This window comes from Homo sapiens, chromosome 1 (assembly GCF_000001405.40).
Source record: "Homo sapiens chromosome 1, GRCh38.p14 Primary Assembly".
In the NCBI taxonomy this organism is placed as follows: domain Eukaryota; kingdom Metazoa; phylum Chordata; class Mammalia; order Primates; family Hominidae; genus Homo; species Homo sapiens.
Genome location: NC_000001.11, coordinates 9,099,834 through 9,117,492, shown reverse-complemented (window position 1 = coordinate 9,117,492; position 17,659 = coordinate 9,099,834). Strand labels below are relative to the sequence as shown.

The 17,659-nt window shown below is 51.2% G+C and overlaps 1 protein-coding gene across 4 annotated transcripts in view, besides 3 other annotated features; it reads left to right on the top strand.

The window, feature by feature from the left end:
• GPR157 (G protein-coupled receptor 157) overlaps positions 1-17,188 on the top strand; it is a 28,798-nt gene extending 11,610 nt beyond the window's left edge. Inside the window, exons 2-5 of one of the 4 annotated variants that reach the window (XR_007063977.1) lie at positions 6,004-6,217; positions 11,813-12,007; positions 12,859-14,618; positions 14,741-17,188. Coding sequence is in view for 3 of the 4 variants with exons in the window: in NM_024980.5 (NP_079256.4) it covers positions 6,004-6,217; positions 11,813-12,007; positions 12,859-13,074 (625 nt within the window). In the remaining variant the exon portion in view is untranslated. Of the gene's footprint in view, positions 1-6,003; positions 6,218-11,812; positions 12,008-12,858 lie in introns of all 4 variants that reach the window. The other 3 variants (XM_005263496.6, NM_024980.5, XM_005263497.6) reach the window with 3 other exon arrangements.
• Positions 1,657-1,857: a silencer, noted in NCBI's record as "peak53 fragment used in MPRA reporter construct". NCBI's record gives its function as "represses an SCP1 promoter by STARR-seq MPRAs in K562 erythroleukemia cells {active_cell/tissue: K562}" and the evidence as "EXISTENCE:reporter gene assay evidence [ECO:0000049][PMID:32103011]".
• Positions 6,755-6,804: an enhancer, noted in NCBI's record as "active region_114". NCBI's record gives its function as "activates an Ori minimal core promoter by ATAC-STARR-seq in GM12878 lymphoblastoid cells {active_cell/tissue: GM12878}" and the evidence as "EXISTENCE:reporter gene assay evidence [ECO:0000049][PMID:35858748]".
• Positions 12,418-13,394: an enhancer, noted in NCBI's record as "H3K4me1 hESC enhancer chr1:9164158-9165134 (GRCh37/hg19 assembly coordinates)". NCBI's record gives its function as "activates a minimal SCP1, AML or CMV promoter by ChIP-STARR-seq in naive H9 embryonic stem cells {active_cell/tissue: H9 hESC(naive)}" and the evidence as "EXISTENCE:reporter gene assay evidence [ECO:0000049][PMID:30033119]".
• Positions 17,189-17,659: the final 471 nt, after the last annotated feature.

The following is a 17,659-nucleotide window of genomic DNA, read 5'->3' as shown; positions in this document are numbered from 1 at the left end:
CCACCGTGCCCAGCTACATGTCAGAACTGCAATACGCATTTCTAGAAAGCAGGATTTATGCCACACATGTGTTTGTGGAGCACCTATCAGATTTAGACTACCTGCAGCTCAGGGTGGCCCCCTGGCTGGAGAACTGCCCTGTTTATCCTTCTGAGAGTTCCAGATACACCAACTTTCTCCTTACCCTGTAGTCAGGAACCTGGGGCACTGTCATCTCCTTATCGTTTTTATCCTATGTCTGCTAGTGTCCTGGAGCCAGCTTGAGAGACCCGATTGTTCCATTTTAGGGAATTTTGTGAGCTGATTGTTAGATACGACCAGTATTAAAAACTAGATTATATTAAAAACAGAGCTGGGCATGGGGCTCCTGCCTGTAGTCCTAGCTCCTTGGGAGGCTGAGACGGGAGGATCACTTGAGAAAACATAGTGAGATCCCATTTTGAAAAATAATAGACTGGGCATGGCGGCTCTTGTCTGTAATCCCAGCACTTTGAGAGGCCAGGGCGAGAAGATAACTTGAAGCCAGGAGTTCAAGACCAGCCTGGGCAATAAAGCAAGCCTTTGTCTCTACAAAAAGCAAAAAATAAGCCGGGCATGGTAGCATGTGTCTGTAGTACCCCCTACTCAGGAGGTTGAGGTGAGAGGATTACTTGAGTCCGAGATTTGGAGGCTGCAGTGAGCCATGACTATGCCACTGCACTCCAGTCTGGGCAACAGAGCAAGACCCTGTCTCTAAAATAATAATGCTTTTTTTTTTTTTTTCCTCTGTCACCCAGGCTGGAGTGCAGTGGCACGATCTTGGCTCACTGCCACCTCCCCGGTTCAATCAACAATCAATTCTCCTGCCTTAGCCTCCTGAGTAGCTGGGATTACAGGCACGTGCCACTATGCCCAGATAATTTTTTTGTATTTTTAGTAGAGACGGGGTTTCACCATGTTGGTCAGGCTGGTCTCAAACTCCTGACCTCATGATCCGCCCGCCTCGGCCTCTCAAAGTGCTGGGAATAATAAAATAAAAAAAAAAAGCCATAAATACTCAAAGCTCATCGTGTCATAGCTATTTTGCTCTTTACATGCTTGAGGTTGTTGTGTCTATCATATCTCTGTGGTGAAAAAATATATATATATATAATTTATATATAATTATATATAAATTATATATAATTTATATATATTATATATAATATAATATATATAATTTATATATAATTTATATATAATTATATTATATATAATATATATATAATTATATATATAATTATATTATATGTAATATATATATAATTATATATATAATTATATTATATATATAATATATATAATTATATTATATATATATATAATATAATATATATATAATGGTGTGCTATGTGCATCTGTTCCCAGCCACATGTGTTGGTGGCTGGAAATTGGCCATGGTGGAAGTATTTACACATGGAAGTTGGCAAAGACTACAAATCAAGGCTTGATTTATTGCTTTGTTGATTGTGTAGAGCAGAGATCAGCAAAGTTTTCCTGTAAAGTAAGTGTTTTCAGCTTTGTGGACCAGGCAGTCTCAGTTGTAACTGCTCAACTCTGCCTGAAAGCAGCGGTAGACAATCTGTAAATGACTAGGTGTGCCTGTGTTGCAATAAAACTTTATCTAAAAAAAAAAAAAAACTGTGGGCCAGATTTGGCCTGAGAGCCACAGTTTGCTGGACCCCTGATCTAGACTTAAGAAAGTAATGGAGAAGACATTAAAGGTATAGATTAAACTTAAGTGTTACTTATCTCTGAGCTTAAGAAGAGATGGCAGCTGTGTTGGGGCAGGCAGAAAACCCAGTATGTAAAAAAGAGGTAAGGAGAAGAGACAGGATCATGGAGCAGAAACAAATTGAGGAAACAGTCTCCCAGTGTGGGGGGAAGAAAACTCGTACCTGATTCAGCAAAGAAGTTGCTCATGTCACCAACCAGTGACATGAGCAACCAACATATGTCTTGTTTTCTATGTCTTCCTTACTTCATTTTCATCCCGTTAAGGGAAATGAAAGCATCAATTAACTTCATGCCACGGAGCGCTCTCATTTGCTGATTGCATCCACAGGTTGGCAAAATCCAGGGTTTGGCTGAAATCAACAAAAGCATTCTGTGAGAATCAATTGGCTGCATGAAATGGACAATAAAGAAGGAGTATTATTATTGTATACTTTATTATTATTTATAAATTGTATGCTTCACATCCTGCAGGTGAAATTTATACATTTATATGTGTGTGTGTGTAAACATGCATACATGCACACATGCACACGTCTATGTTTTTCTGGAGAGCCAGTTGTGAAATGTTCCCAACACACCACTGTCCATGCCTGTACATGAGTCAGTCTGGCTCAGCCCGCTTTGCAGGATCAGTGGACCATTCCACCCTCTCCATTTCCACCGGCTCCCTGATTCTACCTCTTACCTCCTCTCTCTCAAATACCACCCTCTGGCAGCTTCTGGCCCTCACACAGCTGCTCCTTCTGTGTGTTCAAACAACCCCTCCCTGTTGATCAGGCCCATATTCTTTTATTCTTTTTTTTTTTTTTTTTTTTTTGAGACGGAGTCTCGCTCTGTCACCCAGGCTGAAGTGCAGTGGCACAATCTTGGCTCACTGCAACCTCTGCCTCTCAGGTTCAGATGATTCTCCTGCCTCAGCCTCCTGAGTAGCTGGGATTACAGGTGTGTACTGCCACGCCTGGCTAATTTAAACCCACATTCTTAACCCTTTCAAAACCCTCTGCCTATTTGACCTTCCCTTTGGTTATTTCCCAGCACAAACTCAGTATCACAGAAGAAATCTACCGCCTTGTAGCTTTAGTACTGCAACCCTAAAGTTACAGAGTGCGGTTCCGTGTGGTCCCCCGGTTTCCCATGAGGGCCCGTCGGGATGCAGAGGGAGCCCAAAGGAGTGCTGTGCCGACCGTGACCCTCCCAGGCCCAACTCAGAGGGGAATCCCCTATTTGAGTGACCCCCAGCTCCAGACCAGCCTCCTGCAGGGGGACTGTTCCTACATACAGTGCTCACCTCCTTCCCAGAATTCCTTAGCGGAATCCTGCAACTGTAAAGTAACGAGGAACAGCACATTATGACTAGAGGATTGGCGTGGTGGCACTTGAAGAGCCGATTACTTTTTTTTTTTTTTTTTTTGAGACAGTCTCACTTCGTCACCCAGGCTGGAGTTCAGTGGCGCAATCTCAGCTCACTGCAAGCTCCACCTCCTGGATTCAGGGGATTCTCCCGCCTCAGCCTCCCACTAAGATGGGATTACAGGGACGCACTACCACACCTGGCTAATTTTTGTATTTTTGGTAGAGACGGAGTTTCACCATGTTGGCCAGGCTGGTCTCGAACTCCTGACCTCAGGTGGTCCACCTGTCTTGGCCTCCCAAAGTCCCAAAAGTCCTGGGATTCGGGCGTGAGCCACCTCGCCTGGCCTGTCATGAGTTTTAAAACAACCCTTTCTTTTATGGGTGGTGTGTGTGTGTGTGTGTGTGTGTGTGTGTGTGTGTGTGTGTGTTTGGTTTTTTTTTTGAGACAGGGTCTTGCTCTGTCACCCAGGCTGGAGTGCAGTGGCGTGATCTCGGCTCACCGCAACCTCTGCCTCCCAGGTTCAAGCGATTCTCCTGCCTCAGGCTCCCAAGTAGCTGGGATTACAGGCATGCACCACCACGCCCACCAATTTTTGTACTTTTAGTAGAGATGGGGTTTCACTATGTTGGCCAGGCTGGTCTCAAACTCCTGACCCCAAGTGTTCTGCCCACCTTGGCCTCCCAAAGTGTTGGGATTACAGGCATGAGCCACCGCGCCTGGCCTTTTGTGGTCTTTTTGCTCCTGTGTCTTTGTGACTTCCAACAGGACATGCTGCCTCCTGCCACCGAGGCCACTGAGGGTGATGTGACTCTGCCATCAGCCCTCCTGCCCTTCCCTACAGAGGCCAGTGGGGACTGGAGAATGCTGCAGAGGGGATGGTTGGCCAGGGCCCCTCTGTTCTGGAAGCATCCTGCATGAGGCCTTCCCAGTCCCAGGGAACTGACTTTTCCCTTCCATCCTCATCCCTGCCTGGCCTGCTCTGCCAGCCCTGCAGCATTTGGGAGAAACCCTTGAAGCACAGTTCTCCTGGCCTCATTCTGGCCTCAGATTCATGTTGAACTCTGATCTCACAGTTATCATAGTATCATTCCTGTTTACCTAAGGCTTTGCGCTCCAGGCACCTGACCTAGGACAGGGGTACTTGTGTCTTCTTCCCAGGACAGAAACCAGACGGGCCCCACGCAGCACCAGTGTCTGCACCACAGGCCTGAACCCTGGGACAGCAGGACGTGACTCACAACAGTCACGACAGCAGCAAACACTCACACACCTGCCTGGCCCTGTGCTCTGTACACACATGTATTTGTTCTCATAACGACCCGACAATGACACCCTGTAGTCACTGTCGTCATCCACACTTTGCAGAGAACCTGGCATGTTGAGGCTAAATAACTTGCCCAAGCAGGGGCAGAAGTGGGACTTGGATCCAGCCCGCTGCACTAAAATCCAAGCCCACTACACTAAAATCCAAGCTCTTAACTACCCCACTACCTGCCTCTCTCAGGAGCCACTATAGCCTTTGTGTGCTCCATTGCTATGTAAGGAACAGACTGGTTCAAGGACCACAGGGAAGGGGCCTACTCCTGGCTGTGTGGCTGGCTGTGGGAGAGCGCTCTAGAAAACTGAGCCTGGGCTGGACATGGTGGCTCAGGCCTATAATCCCAGCACTTTGGGAGGCTGAGGCAGGTGGATCACCTGAGGTCGGGAGTTCAAGACCAGGCTGGCCAACATGGTGAAACCCTGTCTCTACTAGAAATACAAAAATTAGCCGGGCGTGGTGGTGCACGCCTGTAATCTCAGCTACTTAGGAGGCTGAGGCAGGAGAATCGCTTGAACCCAGGAGGTGGAGGTTGCAATGAGCTGAGATTGTGCCACTGCACTCCAGCCTGGGTGACAGAGCGAGACTCCGTCTCAAAAAAAGAAAACTGAGCCCAACACTGCCCTTAGAGGGGCCCCTACCTGAGCTTTATGTTTTCAAAGGTCCCCGTTGACCCTTGCCAGGTTCTGTTCCCCGCCATTGTGTAAGAAGTCCTCAAGGCCAAAGGGACACACTGCCCAAAGCCCACGTTCCCCCTCCTAGAGCCTGCCGAAGGTAAGCAGAACCCTGGAATTCCCTGCCCAGGCAACCCTAAGCCCCCAGTGTGTGCACTCCTAGACCCAAGGGCTGACCAGGGGGCGCTGATTGTTTGTGGCACATTTGCACGAGCATGGACAGGTGTTCGCACGCTGGTGCCCAAGGCTTCCTGGAACAGAAACCAGACAGGCCTCACGCAGTACCACTGTCTGCACCACAGGCCTGAAACCTGGGACAGCAGGACGTGACTCACAACAGTCACGACAGCAGCAAACACACACCTGCCTGGCCCTGTGCTCTGTACACACATGTATACAAAACTCTTCTTTTTTCTTTTTTTGAGATGGAGTCTCACTCTGTCACCCAGGCGGGAACGCAATGGCACAATCTCAGCTCACTGCAACCTCCACCTCCTGGGTTCAAATGATTCTCCTGCCTCAGCCTCCCAAGTAGCTGAGATTACAGGTGTGCACCACCACGCCCAGCTAATTTTTGTATTTCTGGTAGAGACAGGGTTTCACCATGTTGGCCAGCCTGGTCTCGAACTCTGTACACACATGTATGCAAAAGGAGCTGGGCACACGCTGGGAGCTGGCTGTCCCACGTCACTCCATTCTAATGCCAGTCCCCGAAGAATTCTAAAGTAGAGCCAGGCTCCCAGGGCAACACCTACCCCTTCTTATTTTCCAGGGCCACTGTGCCATCCAGGCTCTGGAGAGCATCCCCTTTCTGAAGGGCGTCCTCCGTCATTTTTGCGAAGGCTGACATTGCCGGGAGCCATGGCCTGACCCCGATGCCTCTTTCTCTCCTCCTTCCTCAGCTGGGGGGTCCCGTTGGTCATCACTGTGGCAGCCGTCGCCCTGAAGAAGATTGGCTATGACGCCTCGGACGTGTCTGTGGGCTGGTGCTGGATCGACCTGGAGGCCAAGGACCATGTCCTGTGGATGCTGCTGACGGGGAAGCTGTGGGAGATGCTGGCATATGTGCTGCTGCCTCTGCTGTACCTCCTGGTCCGGAAGCACATCAACAGAGCGGTAGGCGCTGCCCTTAGAGCTCAGGGCCCTCTGCATGGCCGCTGTGCCCAGGTGCAAGGCCTGGCATTGAGTTTGGCCCCCCGAGGGGACAGGTTGCGTCTCTGGGGACAGAACCAGTGATGGGCCAGAGGGGACCAGGCACTTACTGTGCACCAGACACCATGCAACACGCTGTGTTACACGGATCGTGCATTGGTTCCCACTGCCCCGTTAGGAGCCGGGTCCTGTTACTCCTTTGTAGATAAGGAAACGAGGCTTAGCCGATTAAGGGCCTGTGGGGGCACAGGGCTGCTGCAGACAGGGCTGCTGTGTCCTTGGTCATGGCCCTCTCCTGCCCCCTGGTGGACGGCCTGTGGTGGCTGCTTAAACTTGAGGAATTTAGCTAAAAGGTGAGGACAGACCCAAGGCCGGGCTGCCCCAGGGGAAGGGAAGACTGTGGAATTTCACAATCAGTGACGCAAATAACTCACCTAACTTTTCCTAGTGATTTATTATATCCTAAATGGCAGGGGTTTCCAGAATTCAGAAATGAGTAGGCTGGGCTGGCTGGAGAGCCTACGAAAGAATGGCTTTCCTCTGACACCTTGGCCCAGTTCCTCCTTGTTCCTGCCTCCCAGTCTGCACATGTGGAACTAGGGGCTTCCTCCTGGCCACAAGCAAACGCCTGCAAAAGGCCACAGATTAACCCATTCTTTGATCCACTCGGTCACTCATTCTGTATGTTATTTTAGTTTTATTTATTTATTTATTTTTGAGACAGGGTCTTGCTCTGTCGCCCAGGTTGGAGTGCAGTGGCACAATCTCGGCTCACTGCAACCTCTGCCTCCCAGGTTCAAGTGGTTCTCCTACCTCAGTCTCCCGAGTAGCTGGGATTATAGGCACGTGCCGCCACGCCCAGCTAATTTTTGTTCTTTTAGTAGAGGCAGGGTTTCACCATGTTGGCCAGGCTGGTCTGGAACTCTTGACCTCAAGTGATCCGCCCACCTCGGACTCCCAAAATGCTGGGATTACAGGCGTGAGCCACCGCGCCCGGCCTCATTCAGTATGTTTTTACCGAGCATCTCCTAGCACCAGAGTGCTGTATAGCATGGGAGTTCATCTTGAGGACTCAGACATGGATCCTGCCCTCCTGGAGAGAGGCAGAAGTGCAAGTAACTACAGGCAAAGATTCAATGTGAGGAGTGGCTGGGGCAGTAAGATAGGTCCAGAGGAAATGCTCTGAATTTAGACTTCCGGGCTCATCCTGCAGGCTTGCTGGAGTGAGTCCCTGTGTTTCTATTTGCCCTCTGAGTTTTCAGGGCTGAAATTGTAGGAGGGTGTGTACCCATCTTGTAGGCCATTCTGTCTACCCAGCAGCCATTTCTGAGTCAGGAGGCACCTTGCAGCTGTGGCCATCTGGACACCTAATCCCCACCCTCCACTCCCGTTGTGTCTTCTCGCGTCAAGACCTTTAGTTTTCTCTTTTCTTTTTGCTTGGAAATGTAACCAGTTCTCACCCGCCCTAGACCCCACTTCTGCCTCAGGTGGAGTCCTTGCTGGAGATGGCTGTGGGACTTCCCATTGGTCTGAAATCTTCTTTTTGGACTGGGTGCAGTAGCTCATGCCCATAATCCCAGCAGTTTGGGGGGCCGAGGTGGGTGGATCACTTGAGGTCAGGAGTTCCAGACCAGTGTGGCCAACACAGTGAAACCCTGTCTCTACCAAAAATAACAAAAATTAGCTGGATGTGGTGGCACACACCTGTAGTCCCAGCTACTCGGGAGACTGAAGCAGGAGAATCACTTGAACCCAAGAGATGGAGGTTGCGGTGAGCCAAGATTACGCCACTGCATTCCAGCCTGGGCGACAGAGCAAGACTGCACCTCAAAAAAAATAAATAAAAATTAAAATTAAGGCTGGGCATGGTGACTCATGCCTGTAATCCCAGCACTTTGGGAGGCCGAGGCAGGTAGATCACCTGAGGTCAGGAGTTCAAGACCAGCCTGGCCAACATGGTGAAACCCCGTTTCTAATAAAAATACAAAAATTAGCTGGGCGTGGTGGCAGGTGCCTAGAATCCCAGCTACTGAGGAGGCTGAGGCAGGAGAATCACTTGAACCCAGGAGGCAGAGGTTGCAGTGAGCCGAGATTGCACCATTGTACTCTAGCCTGGGCCACAGAGCAAGACTCCATCTCAAAAAAAAAAAAAAAAAAAAATTAGGGCCGGGTGCGGTGGCTCACGCCTGTAATCCCAGAACTTTGGGAGGCCGAGGTGTGCAGATCACGAGGTCGGGAGATCGAGACCAACACGGTGAAACTCTGTCTCTATGAAAAATACAAAAAATTAGCTGAGCGTGGTGGTGGGCACCTGTAGTCCCAGCTACTCAGGAGGCTGAGGTAGGAGAATGGTGTGAACCCGGGAGGCGGAGCTTGCAGTGAGCTGAGATCGCGCCACTGCACTCCAGCCTGGGTGACAGAGAGACTCCTTCTCAAAAAAAAAATTAGCTGGTGTGCTGGTGCATGTCTATAGTCCCAGCTACTTGAGAGGCTGAGACAGTGAGGCAGGAGGATCACTTGAGCCTGGGAGTTCACTGTATTCCAGCCTGGGTGACAGAGTGAGACCCTGTCTCAAAAAAAAGAAAAAATGAAATGATCTTTTGTCTTCTTCTAGACTTTTATTAGTAGTTGGTCTCCTGCCCAGGTGATGGATGCCCTTCTCACCTCCTCTTCTTTTCCACTGCCCTGGAAAGTTTCCGGGACCCCTGATGAAGTATCCCAGGCACTCCGCCAGGCCCTGCCCAGGACTCTCCTCTACAGATGCCCTTTGTGTGTCTTTCTTTCTGCCTTTCCTTTGGCAGGGCAGGAAGCCTGCGGGGCTGAGGCTGACCCTTACGGGTGACAATGGGTCCTCTTTTCCAAATCAGCAAGTGTTTCAGAAAAACGGGATCGAAGTGGGCAGGGAGCTGAGAATGTGCTAGTTGCCTCTAGCTAGGAATGAGCCAAGAATCGGTGAGCTGGAGGAGGAGGAGGAGGAGGAGGGCGGCTCTGAGCAGGTTAGTTGCAGAAGATTGGGGGCTGAGAGATACCACGATGCAGCAGTGACTCCACAAGACACCAGGTGCTGGCAGAATACCTTGGGCGTCTCCCCTCCCCTGGGCCGTCAGCATCCCAGGCACAGGACTGGCTCAAAAATGCATTTTTTGTTTTAGAGGCAGCGTCTCACTGTGTTGCCCAGGCTGGAGTGCAGTGGCTCAATCTTGGCTCACTGCAACTTCCACCTCTGGCTCACTGCAACTTCCACCTCAGTCTCCTGAGTAGCTGGGACTACAGGTGTGTGCCACCACACCTGGCTAATTTTGTTTTTGTTTTTAAGGCAGAGTCTTGCTCTGTTGCCCAGGTTGGAGTATAATGGCAAATCTGAGCTCACTGTAACCTCTGCCTCCCGGGTTCAAGCAATTCTCATGCCTCAGCCTCCCAAGTAGCTGGAACCACAGGTGTGCGCCACCATGCCTCGATAATTTTTTTGTATTTTTAGTAGAGACAGGTTTCACCATTTTGGCCAGCCTGGTCTTGAACTCCTGGCCTCAAGTGATCCAGACCATCTTAGCCTCTCAAAGTGCTGGGATTACAGGCATGAGCCACTGTGCCCGCGCCTAGCCTAATTTTGTATTTTTAGTAGAGTCGGGGTTTCACCATGTTGGCCAGGCTGGTTTTGAACACCTGGCCTCAAGTAATCTGCCCGCCTCAGCCTCCCAAAGTGCTGGGACTACAGGCATGAGCCACTGCTCCTGGCCAATGCCCAGCTAATTTTTAAATTTTTTGTAGAGACAGTGTCTCACTCTGTTGCCCAGGTTACTCTCAAATTTCTGGGCTCAAGCGATCCTCCTGCCTTGACCTCCCAAAGTGCTGCAATTTCAGGCATGAGCCACCACTCCTGGCCAAAAAAAATCACGTGTTCATCATGAGCAGTTTCATCTATTTTTACAAATTCAGCTTTGATCTGGAAGGAATCTCCTCCTTCCTCTCATGAAAGACATTCCCAGGAGGAAAGCCAAGTCTGGCTCGAGCTCACGTTTTTGTTCTCCTTCTGGAGAGGAGGTGGGTGGGCTGGGGGTACAGCAGGCCCTCCCTGTGCAGGGAGGGGGCTTGCATTCTGGAGGGGAGGACGATGATAAGCAATAAGCCCAAGGAACAAGGGTGAATAACATCGTGGGACTGAGGGTGAGACAAACTGTGGGAAACAGACTAAAATAAAAAGCGGAACGTGAGGATGGGACTGTCTAGGAAGTGCACGTGCAGTTATTTATGTATTTATTTATTTACTTATTTATTTTTGAGCTGGAGTTTTGCTGTTGCCCAGGCTGGAGTGCAGTGGCGCGATCTTGGCTCACTGCAACCTCCATCTCCCAGGTTCAAGCGATTCTCCTGCCTCAGCCTCCCAAGTAGCTGGGATTACAGGCACGTGCCACAACAACCAGCTAATTTTTGTATTTTTAGTACAGATGGGGTTTCACCATGTTGGCCAGTCTGGTCTCGAACTCCTGACTTCAAGCAATCTACCCACCTCGGCCTCCCAAAGTGCTGGGATTCCAGGCATGAGCCTTTGCACCCGGCCTCTGTGCAGTTTAAATAGGGGTGTCGGGCCTTATCCAGAAGGTGCTGCTTGAGCAAAGTCTTGAAGAGGGCCGGGGGGAGCCCTGGGGACAGATGGAGACGGGCATTCCAGAGCAAGGGAGCAGCCAGTGCGGAGCCCTGGGGCGGGGGTGCTGCGTGTCTGCAGCATAACAAGGAGGTCGGTGTGGCTTCAGGGTTGGCCCCACTGTGACCATAAGGGTTGGCCCCGCTGCGACCGTAAGGAGCATGTGGAGTGGGGAGCGCTGAAGAGCTCCGAGTGGAGGACTCACTGGAGCAGACTCGGGTTTTCAAGCAGCCCTGCTGCTTCTGTGTTGAGAATGGACTGTAGGGGGGAGCAGGAGGGGGTGGCAGAGGCGGAGGAGGGAGCCCATCCAGAGACGTGGTGACGTGGCCTGGACACGGGGGCAGTGGCAGAAGGTGGCAGAAGTACCCAGAGTCTGGATCTGTTTTGAAGTTAGAGGTCGGCACGGTGGCAGCTCATGCCTGTAATCCCAGCACTTTGAGAGGCCGAGGCAGGAGGATTGCTTGAGTTCAAGAGTTTGAGATCAGCCTGGGCAACATAGGGAGACCCTGCATCTATTTTAAACAAAAAAAGAGGGCTGCAGGACTTGCTGGGGATCGGATGTGGGCTATGGGACAAAGAAAGGGGTCAAAACAGAGCCCCAAGGCTTTGGCCTGGGCAACGAGAAAGCTGTTGTTTCCATGAGCTGAGACTGGGAAGGGAGCATTGGCCTCAGGGGTCAAGATCCATCTTCTGTCTTGGATGTGAGCTGTTTCAGATGACTTTGAGACCTCCATGTGGAGGTGGGGACTGGGCAGAGGATCTAGCAGTCAGGGTTCAGGAGAAGGATCCGGGCTCCACCACACATCTCCCCTACCTCCCTGAGCTAGTTCAAGTCCCTGGGAAGACCTGGGCAGCCTGGGTGGACGTGGCGGGAGGGTGCCTATCCACTCAAGTCTGCCCTCGCTGTCCCCACACAGCACACGGCACTCTCTGAGTACCGGCCCATCCTCTCCCAGGAGCACCGCCTGCTGCGCCACTCCTCCATGGCGGACAAGAAGCTGGTGCTCATCCCGCTCATCTTCATCGGCCTCAGGGTCTGGAGCACCGTGCGGTTCGTGCTGACCCTCTGTGGCTCCCCGGCCGTGCAGACGCCGGTGCTGGTGGTTCTGCATGTAGGTCTGCCCTCCCTGGCCCTTGTCGTCCCTGCCCCCAGAGGAGGCACAGCCTGATTCCTTCCCGCAGCACAGTGGCTGCACCCCAGTGTCGGCCAAGGCACAGCTGCAGGGAGGAGCTCGGCCCCACTGTGCTGTGCCTTCCTCTCTGCCTGAGACAGGACCTTGAAGAGAGAAGGCAGAGTGGGATCAGTGTGGTCCGGGGTGGTGAGGTGCTCACCAGTGACCTAGGAGTAGCCCTAGGAGAGTTGACTGATCTTGGGTCCTTCCCAGCCAAGAAGACCTGGAGCCCTGCTGAAGGCCCATTGCCAAGGTCATCCCAGATCAGCCATGGCGGGGAGGATGGGGGGAGGTTCTGGGGTACACAGCACTTCCCAGCTACCCCATGTGTGTGCATGTATGCATGTGTGTATGCATGTGTGTGTGTGTGTGTGTGTGTGTGTGTGTGTGTTTCTCAGCCATTTCTCTTTTTTGGGGGGGGGTGCGGGGACAGAGTCTGGCTTTGTCACCCAGGTTGGAGTGCAGTGGTGGGATCTCGGCTCACTGCAACTTCCGCCTCCTGGGTTCAAGCGATTCTCCTGCCTCAGCCTCCGTGTCGCTGGGACTACAGGCGCCCACCACCATGCCCAGCTAATTTTTGTATTTTCAGTAGAGACAGGGTTTCACCTTGTTGGCCAGGCTGATCTTCAACTCCTGACCTCAAGTGATCCGCCCACCTCAGCCTCCCAAAGGGCTGGGATTACAGGTGTGAGCCACCGCACCCAGCCTAGCCGTTTCTCTTAATTGCAACAGCGCGTGTGTTTCTGAGACCAACTCCAGCCCCATGCTCACAGCTCCTTTTCTCCCGACAGGGTATCGGGAACACGTTTCAGGGAGGTGCCAACTGCATCATGTTCGTCCTCTGCACCCGCGCCGTCCGAACTCGGCTCTTCTCTCTCTGTTGCTGCTGCTGCTCTTCTCAGCCTCCCACCAAGAGCCCGGCTGGCACTCCCAAGGCTCCCGCGCCTTCCAAGCCAGGAGAATCTCAGGAATCCCAAGGGACCCCAGGGGAACTTCCAAGCACCTGAGCTTTTGTCCTTTCTAGTTCTGTGCATAGGTGCTGCCTTCCTGGGGGTAGGCACTTCTGTGAGTCCCTGCTGCAGGGGCAGAAGTGCATGTCTGCTGCACCAGAAGCCCCCGCTATTGATGCTCTCGGCTCCATTGGGAGAGCAGCTGCCAACTCAGCTTCTTCTACCTCCTAGATCCTCAGGCAGCAAGTTCCACCGGTACCAGCGTCCTGGCCCACGGGTGGGCGTTCATCTGCATAAGGGTAGCAGTGAGATTCGGGAAGCCGGTGGCCCACAGCTGTGGCCACAGTGCCCCCACCCAGTGGACCTTGATGTCCTGAGGACCACACAGCACTGTTTACAATCTGAGGGACCCACATCTGTGCACCTATCCTCTGTGTGATTAAATAAGCTGTCAGGGGCCCTCAGAGATGTGTCCCCATCCACACATCATGGAGCAGATTCCCGGCTGGTCAGGGTGTTAAGATTCTCTGGAGAACCCGGCTTTCCTTGGAGACTTTGCTCAACAGAGGAACCAGTTGCCATTCACCAGGTTGAAGGTTCCCCTGAGGTTGCATGGTGACCACCAGGGGCAAGCACAGCCCGGCGCAGCTGCTCAGGGACAGCAGTCTCCCCGGGCCTCCTGGCCTCTCCCTCCATGGGCTGCTAACCCTTGCCGTAGCTTGGGTTTGAGTGTCAAGCACAGGCCAGAATCCACACTCCTGTCCCCACCTGTCAATCACTTCAGACACAGGTTCCCTCCTTCCAATTCCAAAGCTGGAACAAGGGCAGGAAGAGGCGTCTCAGGGAACCCCCGAAGACCCCACTGTCTCTCCAGCTCCTTTCTTAGAATCCTCCTCTTCTTGGGGAGACCAAAGGGGATGAGTAGGGAGGGGTTCTGGCTTATTTACTTCTTAGTTTAGTTTTTTGTAAGTAAAGTGGCCGGAGAGATGAGTAATCCAAATACGATTCCTCAGGCCGGGCACAGTGGCTCACACCTGTAACCCTAGCACTTTGGGAGGCCAAGGCAGGCAGATCACCTGAGGTCAGGAGTTCAAGACCAGCCTGGCCAACATGGTGAAACCCTGTCTCTACTAAAAATACAAAAATTAGCCAGGCATGGTGATGCACGTCTGTAATCCCAGGTCTTTGGGAGGCTGAGGCAGGAGAATCTCTTGAACCTGGGAGGCGGAGGTTGCGGTGAGCCAAGACCACACCATTGCACTCCAGCCTGGGCAACAAGAGTGAAACTCGGTCTCAAACAAACAAATACGATTTCTTCCTAAAGGTGAAGGTTTTAAGCTTCAGAGTCAGTTTTTTTTTTTTTTTTTTTTTAAAAAAGGAGCCTCATTCTGTCGCCCGGAGCTGATGTGGTGGTGCGTGCCTGTAGTCCCTACTACTCAGGAGGCTGAGACGGGAGGATCCCTTGAGCCCAGGGATTTGAGGCTTCATTGAACTGGGATGGCACCACTGCCACTCCAGCCTGGGCAACAGCAGGACCCTGTCTCAAAAAAAGAAAAAAACAAAGGATTCAAAAGGATTCAGCTGTTTTGTATTCAGCTGAGGTAAGTGGCGGCATGGAGCATGGAGCGATTATTTACATTTAAAAGAAAAGAATTGAAAGTAAGCACCTGTATCTCTATTTTTATTCTGTGGGTCTTCCACAAACGCTTTCGTCTTATTTCAGAAAACAGCTTCTGTGTTCAGTCACAGGAGCCATCGGCAAAGAATGGAAGTGGAAATGCTACCTCCAGGGTCTTGGTGAGAGAAAGTACAGCTTTACCTGATAGGTGATTTCCCTTGGAATCCATCAGAACTCGACAAAGCATGATTTTCTGAGCCTAGTAAAATGGTTCTGAATCAAAACCGAAGTCACGCTGTGCTGCCGATCCCTGTTTGACTCTCAAAACCAAAATCTGTATCAGGAAAGGAATAATCATTTAGCAGACTGAGTCCAAAATGCTCATTTTTGGTTTCCTGTGAAAATGGATTTCTTTTTGTCGCTTTCTTTTTTTTTTTTTTTTTTTTTGAGATGGAGTCTCACTCTATTGCCCAGGCTGGAGTGCAGTGGTGCAATTTTGACTCACTGCAACCACCGCCTCCCAGGTTCAAGCGATTCTCCTGCTTCCCAATCCCAAGCTGCTGGGATTACAGGCATGCGCCACCATGCTCGGCTAATTTTTTGTATTTTCAGTAGAGACGGGTTTTCACCATGTTGGCCAGGCTGGTCTCGAACTCCTGACCTCAGGTGATCCACCCACCTCAGCCTCCCAAAATGCTTCGATTGCAGGCATGAGCCACTGTGCCTGTCCAAGAAAACAGATTTCTTGATGGAAATTAGTGAGACAGACATCCCCTTAGGATTGAAAGAGAGCTCTGGGCTGCTCCAGGGAAAGCCACTTGGCAGAAATAGCCTCTGTAAGTGAATTCTGGATTCCCCTGAAGACGTTACAGCAAATCTCTGGGTATGTCTCTGGTAAAGACCCTCACTTGAGCTTCTAGAAGGGAGCGAAAATTCAGGAATTTGCTTGCTGCAAAAGAGAACATGATTAACAGGTAAAAGAGAAAAGACAATATAGGCCACAGAGGAATAGTGTTAGGATCAACCCTGCTCAGCAGGGGCCTCTGGAGCCCTCCCTGCTGTACCCAAGCCAGAGCTGAGACATGGCTCCCCAGATGGACTGGCTGTGGTCAGGAAAGGCCTGTAGAGGGAGCTGAGGGCTCAGAAAATACCTGCTCCGGGTGCCTGGGCTCAAGTTCTCATTCCATTTCTTTGATGCCACTGGCCACTGTATCTGCTTTTGTAAAAACCTCCAAAAAGTTATACATCAGGTATCTCTAGTCAGCTTCCTCCGCTGCCCACCTCTTGCCACAGATGAGTGATCACTGTGAATGGTGGTGACCAGGTGGGCAGGGCAGGGGCTTGTCTAAGTGCCTTAGCCCAGGCCCCTGGCCCATCGACCTCGAAAACAGCAATATCGCCTCCTTCTTAGATCCAGTTACCAAGTCAGTCTAGCTGGGTGGGTAGTGCTCAGACAGAAAGGCTGGATGGGAAGGAAGTCACATCCTAAAAGTCCAGGAGGGGGCCAGGCGCAGTGGCTCACGCCTGTAATCCCAGCACTTTGGGAGACCAAGGTGGGCAGATCACCTGAGGTCAGGAGTTTGAGACCAGCCTGGCCAACATGGTGAAACCCTGTTTCTACTAAATATACAAAAAAAAAAAAAATAGTTGGATGTGGTTTCGTGTGCCTGTAGTGCCAGCTACTCAGGAGGCTGAGGCAGGAGAATTGCTTGAACCCAGAAGGCAGAGGTTGCAGTGAGCCGAGACTGCACCACTGCACTCCAGCCTGGGTGACAGAGCAAGACTCCATCTCAAAAAATAAAACAAGTCCAGGAGGGGCTGTTACTTCTTTTTAGTTTATTTATTTTTGTGAGGCAGGGTTTTGCTGTCTGGAGCATCATACCCAGTCTGGAGTGCAGTGATGCAATCATGGCTCACTGCAGCCTCCACCTCCCAGGCTCAAGCGATCCTCCCACCTCAGCTCCCTGAGAAGCTGGGACCACAGGCCTGGCTAAATTTTGACTTTTTGTAGAGACAAGGTTTTGCCATGTTGCCCAGTCAGATCTCAAGCGAGGGGCTGTTACATCTGATCAGGGCAAAAGGGGCTGTGCTCCTTGGACACTTTGCACAGCCCCAGTGGGCTTCTTTCTCCTCTGTTAGTGTGGTTAATGTTCATCTGCCTGCATCCCTGAGTCACCCAAGTGTAACCTCAGCCATAACACGTACTGCAGCCGGAACGGTGTCCGCAGCTCAGCGTCCCTCTCCCATGCACTTTCTGAACTTTGGTCTTTTAACCAGGTTTACCAGCCGCTTTCTGCCTCTTTGTGCTTTTGAGGGTTTTTTGGTTTGTTTGTTCTGTTTTGTTTTTAAATAAAGATGATTATTTGGCCCAGGCTGAGGGTGCAAACAGAACTCTTCACGTGTCCACGACAAGAAAAATAGTTTTTACAAACTTCTAGTTGTGGCATCAAAAGTGTGAGTTTTTGCACCTGCAAAATTGTAATGCAAGCCCTGACTGGGTGGAAGCTGAAGTCTTGCTGTTTTAAATTAAATAAATAAATTATTTTTCTCCTATGTGTTTGGTAAAGTGATTGCCTCCTGATGTGTTGTGCAGGGTGGGGAGGGGGCGGTTGCAGGACAGGTGGCTCGCATTGGCCTGTGTTGCTGTGGTTCCAGAGCCTACCATGAGGCTGAGACCTGGAGAAGACAGCTCTGCCCTTCTCTCTTGGCAAATTAGCTAAAGAGGCAGCCGCCCTGTTGGCATAGCCAGCTTCCCCTGAGTTGACCTAATAAAGATCATGGGGGTGGAGAGATAGGGAGAGGGTTTTAGAATACAGATTCCTGGGCTTTGTCCACAAAGTTGGTGCTTACCAGGGGAATGAAAGGCACTCCTATAGCAGGACCCTAGTGTAACCGCCCAGTGGGTTCACCTTGCCTGCTGCCTAGATAGAGCCGATGAGGGTCAACAGGTCCAAGTTCCAAGCACCCATGACTTGGGGCTGAACTTGATTAAGAGAGATGCTCCAGGGCTGAGCTGCTGACCCC